Raw genomic sequence first — 17,935 nt, 5'->3', positions numbered from 1 at the left:
TGGGAAGTGATTCTAGGAGCAGAACTGAGGATCCAGGAGGGAAGGAGGAAAAGTTGATACAAGGAGAAGTTTTTGAATGGGTCATCCATATGGGCAATGAGACCTTCCGAGGTGCCTTCAAGAAGCGTCCTCAGAATCTTTGTCTCCAGGGAGGAGAGAGGGAGGCCTTTATCCATGGCCTTTATCCCCATGGGCTTGCCTCAGGCTGAACTTCCAGCCAAATCTTCAGCTGTTACCTAAGAAACAATGCAGATCCTGGCCCGAGGACGCCGCCCCTTCCAGGCAGCCTGGACTGTGAGGTGTGCTCCATTGCTCTTCAGGAATCATCCTTGAGAGTTGTTCCACAGCAGTCCAGGTCTGGCTGGAGCAGGTGGATTGGGCGGAAAGTGCAGCAGAATTTGAGAGAGGCCTGTTCTTACAGTGATGACTCACTGTAAGCACCTGAATTCAGCCCTCATGGTCTTTTCACTGCTGTTAGTCATTCATCTCTATGTAGTTTTTGCAAACTAGAGGTAGATGTCTGCTTTCTACAATCAAAGATGTCAGCATTTAGGGCCCAGGGATGGAACAAAGTTGTTTCATGGGAGAGAACAGCATCCATTCTCCTCTTCCTAGTTCAGGAGGTCTGGGTTAACAATCTGCAGCTTCCAAGAATACGCACTCCAGTGATCCACCCAGGAACTGAAAACATGATGACCAGGTGAGGGGAGGTTCCTAATGGACTCACTGAAAGCTAAACTGAAATCAGGTATTCACTGATTACTTGTCCCCCTGTAATCTCCTCCTCTGACCGGAAGGCCACAGTGGCACTCTGAGTTATTATGGGTCCCAGGAGTTGGTGTCAGTGTAGCCAGGATCCAGAAGTCCTGGGGATGAGTTTCCTTTAAGCCGTCCCCTGTGATCTGAGAGGACGCTCCAGGTCCAGGGAGAACAGGTAGGAGGAACGCTTACAGGCTGCACTTAAGGGGAATGACAGGGCCTTTCGCAGACTCCTGACCTCCCTTTCCTTCAAGGGCTCTGGGTCTGTCCTATGAGTCAGGCCTGAGAATTGGGTGACAAGCAGGGGCCATCCAGCATGATGACCTGTGACAGGTGTCTGCCCACCAAGTTGGTGGTTGTGCAAAGTCAGTGGACTCTCCGCCGGCTCTATTTTGGGACCGTGTGCCTGTGGAATTTCCCTGAGCCGTGATCATGTGCACTCCCTGCTGCCTGACCTGGTGCCCACACTCTCTTTTCTTCTGGCCATGACCTGCCTCCCCAGGAGTTGGCCTCTTGGAATTTCTCCCACCCTAAAGATACCAAGGTCCCAGCCCGTCCCCCATTCCAGAGAGTTCCTGGTTATCCATTGATTCTTCTCACCAAAGGAAAGAGAAATCTCCTGGGCCCTCACAGGATGCAGTGTGGGCAGGAAGGACCTGAGAAATCCAATCTAACCTTCCAATCTCCTATGCACGTTGAGTCCTCCTTCTTCTTTGTCATACCAAGTCATTTCTGAATTTTTGGCGTCACAACGAAGTGGCCAGCATTTACTTGAGGGTGGCTCATCCAGCCCTGGGCACAGCTGGCATCCCAGCCTGCTGCTGGAGCAAACCATGCCAGCTGAGGACAACTATGGCAAGGAACCCAAATGATGTTTCCCCTTCCTTGCCGACCTTTCTCGGACTCCACCGCACAAATGGTCTCCAGCTCTTTGGAGTTTGATGGTGGGCTCCTTCTCCTGCTGCAGCGTCTCACTCCTTTCCATTCTGCAGTTCACTCTCATGCCACACTGACTTGAACACTGGCTGTCTAGAAACTCATGGGGGGCAGGGGCAACAGAGATGGAGCAGCTTCCTCCATCAGGGGCTGCACCTTGGAAGCGTCCTTAGATGTGGCTTGGAGTTGGGATTCTTCAATCCCCCTCCGACATCCCTATTGCAATTTTCTGGATATATCTTGTATTAGGCTGAATAACAGCCCCCCACGGATGTGCGCATCCGAATGCTGGAACTCGTGATTATGTCACCTTCCATCATAAAAGGCACCTTGCAAGTGTGATCCAGCCAAGGATCTGGAGATGGGAGGTTATCTGGAATTATCTGGGTTGGGCCCAAGGTATCCACAAGGGTCCTTATAAGGCAGAGGCAGTAAGGTGACAGGGAGAAAAGGAGATGTGATGATGGAAGGGGAGAGAGACTGAGAGAGATCAGAGGACACTACAAGGCTGGCTTTGAAGATGAAGGGAGGAGCCAGGAGCCAAGGCCAGCAGGTGTCTCTAAAAGCTGGAAAAGGCAATGGAATGGCTTCTCCAGGAGCCTCTAGAAGAAACACAGCCATGCCCACACCTTGATTTTAGGACTTCTGACCTCCAGAACTGGAAGAGAGCAACTTTGTGTTGGTTTAAGTGAACACAAAGAAAAAATGGATTACCAGGAACTCTCTGAAATTGGGGAGGGGCTGGGACCCTGGTCTCTTTAGGAGAAATTCTAAGAGGCCAACTCTGGGAGAGGCAGGTTATGGCCAGAAGAAAAGAGAGCGTGGGCACCAGGTCAGTGGTGCTTTGTTACAGCAGGGGAGGAACTAATACACCACTCTCCCCATCAGGGCCCTCAGCTGCACTTAGAAGATCTGGCTAGGATGAAATTTATCATGCAACCAGAAACCTACAGAATCAGTCTCTGAATTTTATTCTCATAGGAGGAGAGTCAGCCAACAACATCGACAGCCACAATTTATTTGATGCCTTCAGGAAACATTTCAAAGCCAGATGTTTGTTTGAAGTGTAGGTCCTGCTTCAGGTCCCAGCGTTCCTTGTCTCAGCCACGTTCCACCAGGTGGCAGCAGGTGCTATGCTGGTCGGCGTGGGGAGTTTCACTGTTGTTCCCCCTCCCTCTCAGCCTGAACGCTAATTCCACAAATACCAACCATCCTGAGGGTCTGTTATCTGCAACCAACTGGTTGGTATCATTTTTTTTTAAATCAGTCAAGATCCTTTGGATGCAAGCAGCACACAGCAAAGCAAAACCAAGACAAAAGCAAATGCAAGAACAAAAACAAATTAGACTTAAACATCCTCTGACCAACTGAAGAGTAGAGGTATGTATTGGAATGATCCAGAGAGAAAGGACACAGAATTAAAGATTTCAAAAAAGCAGAAACCTTTTCTCTGTGATGGACAGAAGACTCAGTTTCCCAAAGAATAAGACATCATATAGACAACATGAGGCCAACTGAATCTGTTTCTCTCTCTCATTTCTTTCTCTTTTATAGTTTGCTCAACAGGCAAACAAAACTCTTCCATCATGTTTTGATATTACACAAAAATCTTGTTCAAAAGAGAAAAACTAAATGTTACCTTTGTATTAATGGATTAGTAATGCTGAAGCTCATTTTATACAATCCTATAAACAAATCTATCAAATTTTAATTAGTTTGATCATGAGGTAAAATTTCCATAAATCTTTTATAGCTTTTAAGATTTTTCTGTTAAAGAGCAGATCAATATACCGAGTATTCCCTATTACTCTGACACAGAGGTTCAGAGGCTGGCCCAGCATCCATGTGCTATTTATGTTCATGTTCAATTTATAGAAAAACTAAATGATTTCTTTTAAATTTTAGCCAAACTTCATCACACATGGTTTCTTTTATGAGATCAATCTTCCACAAACCTACTACAATTTGCTTAAAATTTCTTTTTTGCCATATCTTTCTTTTAACTTGAAATGATCCTTAAAACCTCTAAACTAAACAAAATGATGTTTTCTTAAAAAGAACCACAGTCCCATGCCCTCTTTCAACCCTTTTATCAAAACACATCCTATCTCTTTAATACATTCATTAGTCAGAGTTCTCCAGAGTGACATGGTCAATAGAATACATGTACACACAGAAATACACATAGAAGTGAGTTTATTAGGGAGAACTGGCTCACATGATTACGAGCAGAAATCCCACAACAGGCTCTTGGCAAGCTGGGGAAAGACAGAAGCCCGTAGTGTGACTCAGTCCAAGTCTAAAAGCCTCAAAACCAGAGAAGCCGACTGCGTAGGTCTCGGTCTTAGGATGAAGCCCTGTAATCCTCCAGGAGGCCGCTGGTGCAAGTCCCAGAGTCCAAAGGCCAAAGACCAGGAAGTCTGATGTCCAAGGGCAGGAGGAGAGGAAGGAAGCATCCAGCACGGGAAGACAGAGAGAGTGATGAGCAAGCTGCTCACCCTTTTCTCTTCTGCTTGCTTTGTTCTGGCCTCACTGGCAGCTGATGGGATGGTACTGCCCACATTCAGGGTGTGTCTTCTTCTCTTAGTTCACGGACCCAAATGTCAATCTCCTTTGACAACACCCTCACAGACACGCCCAGAAACAATCCTTTACCAGCCATCTAGGCATTCCTCCGTCTAGTGATGTTCACACCTCATATTAACCATCACAATACACTTTGTGTATAGCCAGAAGGTGGTCTAGGCAGCAATAGATGTAATGTTTTAATTACATACATTAATTGTAATGTGAACTCTTGGTAACTCTTATTTTTATTGAAGAATCTAGGAGGTAAACAGTTTTAATTATGCACCAGATGCGTATCCCAGGATGAAGGGCAATGCCTGGGGTTAGTCCAAAGGCTTGATTCTCAAGACACATAGGTTTACAGATGAGATAAGCAAGCTTTAAAAGTATTACAGAAGCAAACTTTTTTATCCTAATACATCTAGCAGACAATAGTATCTGACCTGCTTGACTAATTCAGCCCAGATATCTAAATTAAGTTTTGAAGACATTTCTATTTTACCAATAATTTTTAAACTGTCTCTAGCAAAGATTATTAAAGTCACATGAAGTGAATGCTATTCAAATGAAAGTTTCTATTTTTCTGATAAAATATTGGATTTAAGTGCTTTTTTTGGCAAGCCAATTAATTAGACCCTTCTATATATTTTGATGGGGAAATATTATATACCTATAACACATATAAATACATAGACACACAGAGATGCGTACAGACCCAGATCCTGTAGATTTGTAAGATTTTTTATTTGTCACTTTTCCAAATTTTTCTCCCCCACTTTAGATTACTAATTTCTTTCTTTCTTTTTTTTTCTTTCTTTCTTTCTTTCTTTCTTTCTTTCTTTCTTTCTTTCTTTCTTTCTTTCTTTCTCTCTCTCTCTCTCTTTCTTTCTCTCTCTCTCTCTCTTTCTTTCTTTATCTCTTTCTTTCTTTCCTTCTTTCTTTTTTTTTGAGACAGAGTCTCACTCTGTCGCCCAGGCTGGAGTGCAGTGGTGCCATCTTGGCTCACTGCAGGCTCCGCCTCCTGGGTTCACACCATTCTCCTGCCTCACCCTCTGAGTAGCTGGGACTACAGGCACCTGTCACTACGCCCGGCTAATTTTTTGTATTTTTAGTAGAGACGGCATTTCACCGTGTTAGCCAGGGTGGTCTCGATCTCCTGACCTTGTGATCTGCCCACCTCTGCCTCCCAAAGTGCTGGGATTACAGGTGTGAGCCACCACGCCCAGCCCACCAATTTCTTGATAACCTGTTTTATTGCCTCAGCAATTGTCAGCCAGATGGCCCAAAGTTCGCACTCTAAAGGAACAAATCTTAGGTGACATCAGATAGAGATTTTACATCTCAAAGTAGAACTAAAACATTTGGCCTAAATATTGTATCATTTTGCTTAAACCAAGGGAAGAAAAACAACTGGAAGCGAACGCAGGTCTGGATGCTCCCCACCTGGATCATCCAATTAACAAGAGCGAGGTCTGCTAGAAAGAAAGTGTTTTTATTAACCAAAACGAGTAAAGGGGAAGTGGCTGGATTCCCTTGGAAAGCAATCACTTTTGCAATCTCTCCATATGACAAAGGTCTAATATTCAGAGTCTACAAGGAACATAAGCAAATTAGCAAGAAAAAAAAACCAAACAACTCCATTATAAAATGGGCAAAGGACATGAACAGACAGTTCTCAAAATAAGACATTCATACGGCCAACAAACATGAAAAAAAGCTCAACATCACTGACCATTAGAGAAATGCAAATCAAAACCACAATGAGATACTATTTCATGCCAGTCAGAATGGCAATCATTAAAAAGTCAAGAAACAACCGATGCTGGCGAGGTTGTGGAGAAAAAGAAACACTTTTACTTTGTTGGTGGGAGTGTAAATTAGTTCAACCATTGTGGAAGACAGGGTGGCAATTTGTCCAAGAAACCCCTTTGACCCAGCAATTCCTCTGCTGGGTATATACCCAAAGAAATATAAATCACTCTGTTGTAAAGATACATGCATATGTATGTTCACTACAGCACTATTCACAATAGCAAAGACATGGAATCAACCCAAATACTCATCAATGATAGACTGGATAAAGAAAATGTGGTACATATACCCTGTGGAATACTCTGCAGCCATAAAATGGAATGAGACCATGTCTTTTGTAGGCACATAAACGGAGCTGGAAGCTGTCATTCTCAGCAAACTAATGCAGGAACAGAAAATCAAATACCATATGTTCTCATTTATAAGTGGGAGTTGAATGATGAAAACGCAGGGACACATCAAGGGGAACAACACATACTGGGGCCTGTTGGCGCAGGGGGAGGGAGAGGATCAGGAAGAATAGCTAATGGATGCTAGGCTTAATACCTCGGTGATGGGTTGATCTGTGCAGCAAAGGACCATGGCACACATTTACCTTACATCCCGCACATGTACCCGGAACTTAAAATAACAGCTGAAGGAAAAAATGAAACTTTTCACTGGAAAAAAAAAAAAAGAAAGAAAGAAACCAGTTTGATGTTTTTGGGTAAAGGCCGGGGCTTAAAAAGGAAAGCTTGATAAGGACAGCATGCTAGAATTGTGTATGTGTGTATGTCCTGTCCCTGTGGCTCTCCTGGGTCCCAGTCCACCTGGATCTTGGGCTGGCGTCATCTCAACGATGGCTGGATTGCTAACTAGCTGCCTTGAGTACTCTCTGGAAATTTGTAGCTGGGTCTCCAGGCTTGGCCTGTGTGTCTCAAGATTAACCTATGGAACTTCTGAGAAAGCACATGATTAGACACTAGCACAAACTTAGATAAATATAGGGGGTATATATGGTGAGAAAGGGAGGGGCATGGACTCTATTTTAAGTCTAAGAAAAAAGGCTTCTGCAGTTTGCTTCAAGGTTAAATCTGGAAACCAAAGAAGAAGGAAAACCCAGTTTAAAATGCAGTTTGAAGTTAAGCTGCCTGATTACAAAACGATATAAGCAAATTTTAGTTAAGAGGTCCAGGAAAAGAACTTTAAACAGAGATATGCCTTAGGATAGAAGAGAACAGTTTTGAATTTGCCAGGAATCTGTCCACTTCCAACTCTTGAGGTCGCATGAGGAAAACAGAGGTTCCTCCCCAGCAGGGACTCTGGTGCTTTTTTCTGTTTTTCCCAAAGGATCTCAGCTGTTAGAAACTACTGTAGGTCCTCTCTTGATTGCATGGAGGGTGGCAAGAGGAAGGAGGGAAAGACAGAAGTAAACAGAGAAACAGACAGAATTGAGGTGACTGAGACATAGAGAGAGAATAATGGCCATAACTACTCTCTCTCTCTCAATAAATAGATAGATAGATACATATATACATACACAGCCTTAATATCAGTTTCAGTGAAGTTGACTTGTGACTTTAGAGCTCTGAAAAAATCCTTTCACACCTCTTACTACCAGATGTTAGCCAGGACATACAGGTGATATTTCTGGTGTTTGAATTCTACCAAAGGCAACCTTCCTAGTGAAACCAATAAGCCTGAAGTAAGGTTGTGACTTAACCATGGGCGCCCGAGGGATCTTCCAGGAGGTGGCAGGGAGGTGTTTTTTTGTTTGTTTTTAAGATACAGAATAGCTGATCTCCTATACACAAAGATAAAAATTCCCTCTATGTCCCCCACAGAAAGAAGACAGAAATCAATAGCTATCCATGGAGGGGAGAAGGATCAGTGAAAGGCAAAATCACACAAATATCAAACCAGAATCCAGAACAGGCGGTAAAACCTGCAATAGATTTTAATGTGTGGTTTTTTAGTTTTTTATTTTTTTTATTTTCTTTGAGATGGAGTCTCTCTCTGTCACCTAGGCTGGAGTGCAATGGCGGGATTTATGCTTACCGCAATCACTGCCTCCCAGGCTCAAGCAGTTCTCCTGGTTCAGCCTCGTAAGTAGCTGGGATTACAGGCACAGGCCACCACATCCAGCTAATTTTTATATTTTTAGTAGATACGGGGTTTCACCATGTTGGCCAGGCCAGTTTTTGAACTCCTGACTTCAAATGATCTGCCCACCTTGGCCTCCCAAAGTGCTGGGATTACAGGCATGAGCCACTGCGTCCTGCAGGGATTTTAATTTTTATGTGAGATTTTTTGGAATAGATTTCTCAAAGCTAGCTGTGATACTATGTGTCCTTTTTCAATGTTGAGTTTTTCATCAGTTGTTTAGAAAATCATTTTTATCTGTTTTATGGCCATTAATGATTAGAATTTTCCCTGGTGTCCTTTATTCCAATAGACCATAAAGTACCAAATGTTCACCAGAGTTGCTAGACCAAGATGAGTCACACACAAACCTTCCCCCGCTCGCACCCCCATTAATCAAAACCTTGCAGATGAGGCCAACAGTGATTTTTACCATCTGTTCACCTGTAGTACACAGAGAGAGGCCAGGAGCCTGGCTGGTAGAAAATTCCTACCCTTTAGCTGGCAGATCAGGTGCCTGGGTTCTCATCACTATGACTTCTGGGAGACAAGAACAGCTCTGATCACTATGAAAAAAGCATTGGCCTGAGGTTGATTAATTCATGGCAAAAATGGCTAGCAAATTTATTGAAGGTGTATACATGAGATATCAGGGATCTCTGGAAGGAAAAGCTCCCAGATGCCAGCAAATCATCCTATTTGTTTGAGAGATTAAGATAGTCCAAGACAATACCAGGCACCTACAGGAGATTTGCCCATATCAAGGGCAACTTCCACTCAGAACCTCTTTGCAGTTGCCCAATTGTAAACCCAAAATGTGTCTGAGGGAGGTCTCCAGCAATTTAGAGGTTTATTTAGCCACGATTGAGGATGAGCCTGGGTAGAAGAGACACGAGGTGCTGTAGGTTCTGGGGCTTGCACTTTTTCCTAAGAGGGTTTTGAGAGCTTCAATATTTAAAGGGAGAACAGTGGGCAGGAGGAGAAAGAGGAAAGAATAAAAAGAGAGGGAGGGCACGTAGTGGGTGAGTGTTCACTGTCTTGTGAGGGTTTGATTAGTGCTCCCTAAATCCACCTGCTGCTTGTGAAAGGAGCAGGCAGAGGAACAGTCAGTTCTGCATTCGTCTCATACCCAGTCCATCCGCATCGACAGGAGATAAAGTCAACATAGAGCACAGGAAGCACTGACATATGCATTTGTGTCGGGGTGGGTGGCGGGATGGTTTCCAGTGTCGTCTTGTGTCACGTACTTGTGAAGATGAACTGTGATTTTACAGTGTCAGGGTGAGGGCGGCCACCCTGGGAGACACATGGCCTTCTGCCTAGCACCTGTCTATCGGTTTAGGATGGAAAGGAAAGGCAGTGTGTTGTGTGACTCAGTTTCCAAGTGTCACTTTTCCATCGTGAGTTTAGGTTCCTGAGATTTTGTTTTCCTTTCATGAGGGGATCCTGTGTTTCCTCATGGGATCCCAGCAGTGGTCAGCGGACAGATTCAGTCAGGTCTAAAACCTCTTCTCTCTTTTCTGTTGTGTTACCTGATCTTTTGGCTTTTGGGTGTATATCAGAAATCACTTTGCATCGCAAGAAAATACCCTTGGTAAGTGTAATACTTCGGGAAGAAATGCATTGTTAAAAATGGATCATGGCAGTTGCTTACAGTGAATAATTATCCCCAGAGGGTGCTGGCTGTTGTTTGTTTTTTATTTTATTTTATTTTTTTGCAGTTTTAGATTTTTAAATAAACATCGCTGAAGAACTAAACACACACACACACACACACACACACACACACACACACACACACACAGAAGCATGCTTTACTGACCCTGTTCCTTAAAGGGCTCCACTCTAAAGCCAGGAATTTAATTAAGATAAGTTAGAAAGCCAAAACATAGCTTCCTAGTAGTTAGCTGGCCTTCTTAAAACTCTTTCCTAAGATAAATGTACATCTTCAAGGGAACCTTGTTCTGTAAGGGTATCTGCCTGTGAACATTAGGAAACTCTTACCATTTTGCTTTAAATACATAAGTCATAACGCTGTTCAAACTACTTTTCCTGATCGTCTTGACTAAGGCCATTCTTCCCCGTGGTTAGAGCAAATGATAGTACAATACTTAGGCCTGCTAGCTTAGCTCTGTACTTTTAAAACAAATATTCGATCTCAGGTGACCTAAGAGCTGTCCGTTGAGAAATGCAAAATGGACTGATCCTCTGTCCCAAACTTTCCCATGCCATAGGTGCATTGAGGAAGTGCTAATTATAGCCTTGAGGAAGAATAAGTAAGGCCAGGAGGCCACACTGACTTGTCCCCTTGCGTGAATCCCCACAGGTTCCTTTCACATCCCTTGCACCCTCCTGCATCAGCCCCTAACTTTTTTCTGCAAAATACGTGGTCCTACAGCATGCCAGCCGACTGCCAGATGGTTCCAAGTTCCTGATACCTACACTGCCTGAGAGAGAGAAGGAAAGCCCCTTATTCAAGTTGTGGATTTCCCTGTCACCAGCCAATCAGCACCAAAAGCCCAAGAAGCTATTAGCTACCTATTCCTACTTTGGGGGAGCTAGGGACTTCTCCCTGGCCCTGCCTGCGTAACGAGGCTCATGGTTTAGATTCTACTGATGTTTTCCCCACTTTAATAGTAAAAAACACATCCCTAGGTGGAGATTGTATATATGGTAATGATATGTGCAATGCTTGTTAGAGCAGAGAGACGCTGATCACATGCGCCAATCCCAGGTCCACCTTTGCACACTTGACCTCACCAGTACCTTATGAATATGCATGCCCAGCTCCCATAAAGGGAATTCCACTTAAGGCACTAGGGGCTGTTTTTCACATTTAGCAGCCTGCTCTGCCTCTCAGAGCATATTTCACTTTGCAGTAAACTTCTCTGCCTACTCTTGGGCACTTTCCCATGCCATACTCTCAAAAGTACTCTCAAATCCTTTTGTGCAGCAAAGTCAAGAACCTCAACCTGCCCAGCGACAACCTCGGAAGAATGTGGGACTGCTTATCTCACTACCTTCCCTCTCTCTTGCTTTCTTTCCTCTGTCCCCTCCTGCCCAATTTTTCCCCTTTAAATACTGAGAGACTCAACACCCTCTTTGGAAAAAGCGTGGGCCCCACATCCTACAGTGACTTGCGTCCGTTTCTCCCAGGTGTGTTCTCAACCTTGGCCGAATAAACCTCTAAACCAATTGAGAACTGTCTCAAACGCTTTTTGGTTTACAAGTCTTGGCTCCTCTCTGAGTTGATGGATGAAAGCCACTGCCCTGCCCTTTGCCTCAGTTTCCTCACCTGCAAACTCAGATCATGATCCTGGTTCATTGAGGGATGATTACAAAACTGCAATCAAAAGGGGAAGTATAAATGCATTGCAATCTACAGTGTGCAGTTCCTGTGTGATTGCCTTCTGTTCCTCCCTCAAAAGCTGGTGTGTGTGTATTGGGTGGTGGCCAGGATGTCCCATGGATGTTTGCCCTGGATGAACTAGGACCCCCTGGAAGGGCCAGGTTGACCTCTGTGGTCCAGCCCCACTCCAGCCCTTCTGCCTGGGACAAAGCAGAACTGTCTGACAGCAATCCAGCTGCATGACTTCTTAGCTGTGGGACTGTGGCCCAGCAGTGGACTTAGGTCCCTCCCTTCAAGGTGTCATGGGAGTGGGGCATGGGGCAGTGGACTCTGTGGATGCTGGAAGGCTTCTCAGAGGAGGCAATGCCATAATTGAGCTCTGAAGGAAGAACATGATTTTTCAGTTGGTGGAAGCCATTGCTCCAGACAGAAGAACCCACATAAGCAAAAGTCCAGAAGCCACAGGGGCATGGTGTTGAAAAACAGTCATAGAGTTCAGCATGCAGTAAGCACCTGGTATGTCTGAGAGATTGTGCTAATGTCGATAGCATGGGGGAGAGTAAGGCAGGCATGCTGGGAGTGTAGGGGGCACAGGCAGAGGGGGAGGAATCTGGGGGGTCCCACAGCCTGTTTCTTCCCGAAGACCATAACAGACCCCCACCCTGAGGATGTGAGGCAGGTGGGTTGACAGAGAAGGTTCTGGAACACTGGGTCTGGGGTTGCTCCTGTAAGTGCAGCAGCAAGGAGGGTGGGACCGGGCTGAAGGTGGTGCCGGGGAGCAGTGTGTTTAGTGGGTTTGCGTGATCACGAGCTGCTGAGAAGTTGTGACTTTTCGTTTCCATTTCAGGTTCTCCAGGTGGCAAAAGATGAAAATTTAAAAGTTATAAAATTGAGCATTTTACCCGTTTTTATTTCCTCTCTTTTTTTTCGTCTTTGATCATCAGGCTGCTGAGTTTCCACAGGCACAGGACTGCCCAGTATCCCTGGCAACTCCATGGGGTCTTCTTCCTAAATTGTGGCCAATGGAAGGTGAGAGCAGTGATGTCTGCAACTTGTAGGTGTTTCTCTTAAGGGGAAGATTCCTGTGTTTTGTGTCCTCTTCTGTTCTTTGGGCTGGGATGTATGGGTAAGCGCCAGCTTCCACGTGGAAAACAACAACTCCCTCTGAGTGGCAACCCCTGGTCGACCTTCGGGAGCAAAACCACCTGCCACTGAAACTGCCTAGCAACGTTGGTGTGAATGTCTCAGTTCAGCAATCTCCTATATCATTGATTGAATATATCGGTAATTGGGAGCTCTTTGTTATGGCAGCTTGGCATCGGTGACCTAAGTAACTCAAGGCCCACCCCTAGGTTCCATCTCCACCCTTGGCTCTAAGTCTCTTCCTCCTTCTGAATTCTGCCTTTGTGACCATCTCCTTTGGGCTGACCACAGCTTGGAGGTGGCTTTGATGTTGACTTCTCCTAGGACCTTGTCATCCCCTCTAAGGGAGCGCATGGATAAGTGACCACTTCAGGCAGCTGAGACTGAGTTTCCAGACCAGCCCAGTCCAGCTCCTACATCAGATGAACTGGAGGACCGTTGGGGGAAACTGGGCAAAGAGTCTGCAGGGCCTCTCTGTGCTAGTTTTGCAACTATTTTTCCAGCTGTGCTGTTTTGTCTTGTGAGTCTATCATTATTTGTCTTAGAAATGAAAAAATTTCTATAATTTAAGCACTGAATCGTGAGGATCAGTAGGTGAAAAAGGGAAGCCATGCTGGGTGCATTGGCTCCCTCCTGTAATGCTATAACTGGCTCAAGTCCAGCTGCTCACCACTCAGTGGCCAAAAACACAGGAAGTGAGTTGCGGTGAAGGGAAAGCAGCTTCATTCAAGTGCTCACAGTGGGGGAATGATCAGGCTCATGCTCTTAAAAGATCATTTCTACTTTAGGCTGGAGAGAGGGGTTTAGAAAGGGAAAATTGGAATTGGAGGTGTGTGGGAGTGGTGCAGGAGGGTGCAGGTCTGTGTCTTGTTCCAATGGCTGTCTTGAGAAGTAGCCCGTCAGGAGGTCCAATTGGCATCATTTGGACTTTACCCTGTTGGTGGTGGATTAATTGTTGGTAACTCCCCCTAAGCCGGAGAATTTTGCACCTGGGTTTCTCTGCCTGTTTTTTTTTCAAAATTCACTCCTTGAATTTCTATGCACCCACATCATTAGATAAGTGAGCACTGTGCACAAGAGAGCTTGGTGAGAAAGGGAGGGGAAAGGAATTTTGAAGTACATTTTAAAGCTACATTCTGAGATTAAGACAGAAAGAAAAATAATGTTAAAGTACATTTCAATGCTGGGTTACTCGATTACAACTCCAGTACATTGGGAGGCTGAAGCAGAAGGGTTACTTGAGGCTAGGAGTTTAAGACCAGCCTGGGCAACATCATGAGACCTCATCTCTACCAAGAAAGTTAAAAAATTAGCCAGACATGGTGGCACATGCCTGTAGTTTCAGCTGCTTGGGTTCCTGCAGTGGGGGGATCACTTGAGCCCAGACGTTTGATCTGCTGCTGCACCCCAGCCTGGGCAACAGAGTGAGATCCTGTCTCTAACAAAAAAGGAAGCCAAGGCCAGTTGTGTGGCCTTGGGGAAATGATTTTATTTTCTGAGTCTGTTTCTGGTCTGTACATGGGGATAGGAGAAACATCAAGAGTACTAGAGAGTGCATGGAGAAGATGAAAATGTAACCAAGTATCCCATTTTATTTTTTGTTTGTTTGTTTCTGGTCTCCTCTCTTTGTCCATTTCTTGTTTTGCTTTTAGTAATGTGTGAATCTTTGTTCTCCTTTTCTACTAGGAACTCCCCTCCCATGCACTGTATTTTATTTAATCATGTTAGATTGCTTAGAAATTCCAGGGAAGATGTTGCAGGAAGTCAGGGAGCCCGAATGGAGGGACCGGCTGGAGCCGCAGCAGAGGAACATAAATTGTGAAGATTTCATGGACATTTATCAGTTCCCAAATAATACTTTTATAATTTCTTATGCCTGTCTTTACTTTAATCTCTTAATCCTGTTATCTTCCTAAGCTGAGGATGTACGTCACCTCAGGACCACAGTGATAATTATGTGAACTGTACAAATTGATTGTAAAACATGTGTGGTTGAACAATATGAAATCAGTCCACCTTGAAAAAGAACAGAATAACAGCGATTTTAGGGAACAAGGGAAGACAACCATAAGGTCTGACTGCCTGCAGGGTCGGGCAAAAAGAGCTATACTTTTCTTCTTGCAGAGAGCCTATAAACAGATGGGCAAGTAGGGAAGATATTGCCAAATTCTTTTCCCAGCAAGGAATATTAATATTAATACCCTGGGAAAGGAATGCATTTCTGGGGGGAGGTCTATAAACGGCCGCTCTGGGGATGTCTGTCTTATGCGGTTGAGATAAGGACTGAGATATGCCCTGGTCTCCTGCAGTACCCTCAGGCTTATTAGGGTGGGGAAAAAGTCCACCCTGGTAAATTTGTGGTCAGACCGGTTCTCTACCCTCAAACCCTGTTTTCTGTTGTTTAAGATGTTTATCAAGACAATATGTGCACCGCTGAACATATCAGTATTTCTGCTTTTGCCCTTTGTCCTGTTCCCTCAGAAGCATGTGATCTTTGTTAGACCCTTATTAGTAGTTCTGCTTTTTGCCCTTTGAAGCATGTGATCTTTGTACCTACTCCCTGTTCTTACACACCCTCCCCTTTTTAAAACCCTGAATAAAAACTTGCTGATCTGAGATTCAGGTGGGCATCACAGTCCTGCTGATATGTGATGTCACCCCCAGCAGCCCAGCTGTAAAATTCCTCTCTTTGTACTGTCTCTCTTTATTTCTCAGCTGGCCAACATTTATGGAAAATAGAAAGAACCTCCATTGAAATGTTGGGAGTGTGTTCCCCCAGTAGAAGAAATCTTGAAACCATCCAGGAAGCTACAGAATTGCCTCAAGGCTACATTGAATTTTCAACCTGGCTATCCTGGAGATGTCCCCAGTCCATACACCCGATGGGGCAATAACTCAAGATGGTCATTGGACAAGTCATGTAGACTGGCACTTCTTCACCACTCTTGCATGCCTTTCATATCAAGTTTCCCTTTTGAAACACCTGCCCTCAGTTCAAAATCTGAAATGGTTTCTCTAAGGCACTAGCCTGACCTCATCCCCAGATATGGGCTTTTGGAATGAAGTCACTTTCCTTTCACTGCTTCTCATCCTTGTTCATTTGCCTTTGCAAGCAGTGAGCAGCTGAACTTTTCTTCAGTTACAAATGGAGATAATGCAGACATCATGATTGCTCACTGCCCTGTATACAGAGTGAGTGCTCAGAAATATTGATTCTTGTTTAATGAGCATCTACTATATGCCATGCATATTCCCCACCCTGCCTGAATTTATTCTCTTAGGAATTCTGAGAGGTAAATTCTATGATTAGCTTTATTCTACAAGCAAGAAAACTGAGTCATGAAGCCAAAAACTGGGGAAAGTGATTTCCAGCTGTCTGATGCCAAATATCCTCTCCAGCTCATGGGAGGGACAGAAATCTGGACAGGACATTGGGGCACACTCTATGATGTCAACATTTCAGGGTAGGTTTTGCAAATTTCTGGACATGGGGTCTGTTTCAGGAGCATGTTAATCCTTGATGGGGTTACAGTTGGTCATAACCAGCCCAGCCATACCCAGCTCCCTGTGGCCATCAGCCATAGAACAGGTGGGACTTGGGCAACACATTCTGATGGTATTTGGAGTTTTGTGATTCATCTTGAGCCAACAGGGAGAAAGTGAGGAAGAAAATTAGATTTTCAGAATACTTGAGAAATTTCAGGAAATCATTTCCTTTAGGGGAAACAGGATGGTCCAGAAAATGAAACAAAACAAGAACCAGAAAGGTCCAGCTACAAGCCCAGCTCTGCCTCTTTCTGAGTAACTCATTTCACCCCATTTGAACCTTTGTTTTCTCTTCTGGGAAACGAGGCTAGGAAGAAAATGTTTTCATCACAGGGCTGTTGTTGAAACTTGTATGATTATGTGTGTAAAAATGTTTAGCAAACCAGAAAAGGCTCAGGTGCTATTATTTTTTTTTCTGCAAAGGTGGGTTTTCAAGGATTTTAAAAACTTTTTTAATTGGGCCTGGTGCAGTGGCTCACTCCTGTCATCTCAGCACTTTGGGAGGCCAAGGCAGGTGGATCACAACATCAGGAGATTGAAACCATCCTGGCTAACATGGTGAAACCCTGTCTCTACTGAAAATACAAAAAATTAGCTGAGCGTGGTGGCATGCACCTGTAGTCCCAGCTGCTGGGGAAGATGAGGCAGGAGAATTGCTTGAACCTGGGAGGTGGAGGTTGCAGTGAGCCGAGATTGCGCCACTGCACTCCAGCCTGGGTGACAGAGCAAGACTCCATCTCAAAACAAACAAGCAAACAAACAAACAAACAAAAATTAAATTGTGGTAAAATATTCCTAACCTAAAGTTGATCATTTTAACCATTTTTAGGTGTACAGTTCAGTGGAATTACATTCACATTGTTGTGCAACCGCTATCATCCACAGAACTTTTCTTCTTGCAAAATGGAAACTTTGTATCCAGCAAGCCATAACTCCTTATTCTCCCTCCCCTGGGCCCTGACAGCAAAACTGGAAAAAAAAAAAAAAAGCTGATGTGTTCAGGAAGGTTGCTAAGCCAATATCAAATGGAAGAAGGTAATTACATGGGACTGAATTACTAAAGGACTGAAATTAATTTCAGTCCTTTATTAAGTCCTTTGCCTATAGAGTTCCTTTACAGGGTTCCTGAACTGTGGTAAATAAAGAATATCACTTTCTGACAGGCCCAGGAAGCCCAAGTGATCATGGGGCCTCGAGAAGAAAGGAACTCACCCAATTCATACAGGTATCTGCAGGCAAACATAAATTCGTGGCTGAGCTCAAGGTTTTAAAGGGCCTACTCTGAGATAGCTTATGAATACGAAAATGGCCTAGCAAAGTCAAATTTTAAAAAAGACTCCTTATGCCACAAGATTATTCTTCTGCACTTTATGCAAATAATCAGGCCAAGTATTAGAAGACTAAAACTTATTTTGCAAATAAATGCGTCCTACTATGATTTGTCTTTGGTAGAAATAGAGTACTAGAGAGAGAAAATGTGTTTTAAAAGAAACTATAAAACGTCTGTTATGAGATTCTAGCTTTGTCCATTGTTTTCCAGCTTTATTATTTGTCTACAATTTATCCGCACTAGATATTGAATTCTTTCCTGGCTACAAGTCTCCAAACTAACATATTCCTTTTGTTTTTCTCTCATTTTTCTGACTTGGCATCACCAGAAATCAAAACTGTCCTTTTTCTAAACCCCTGCAAGCAAACGGA

The 17,935-nt window shown here is 44.1% G+C and overlaps 1 annotated feature.

Annotated features, from left to right (window-relative positions):
- Positions 2,545 to 2,704: an enhancer, noted in NCBI's record as "active region_18917". NCBI's record gives its function as "activates an Ori minimal core promoter by ATAC-STARR-seq in GM12878 lymphoblastoid cells {active_cell/tissue: GM12878}" and the evidence as "EXISTENCE:reporter gene assay evidence [ECO:0000049][PMID:35858748]".

Source organism: Homo sapiens, chromosome 22 (assembly GCF_000001405.40).
Source record: "Homo sapiens chromosome 22, GRCh38.p14 Primary Assembly".
NCBI classification, from domain to species: Eukaryota; Metazoa; Chordata; class Mammalia; order Primates; family Hominidae; genus Homo; species Homo sapiens.
This window is presented reverse-complemented; position numbering and strand designations above follow the sequence as displayed.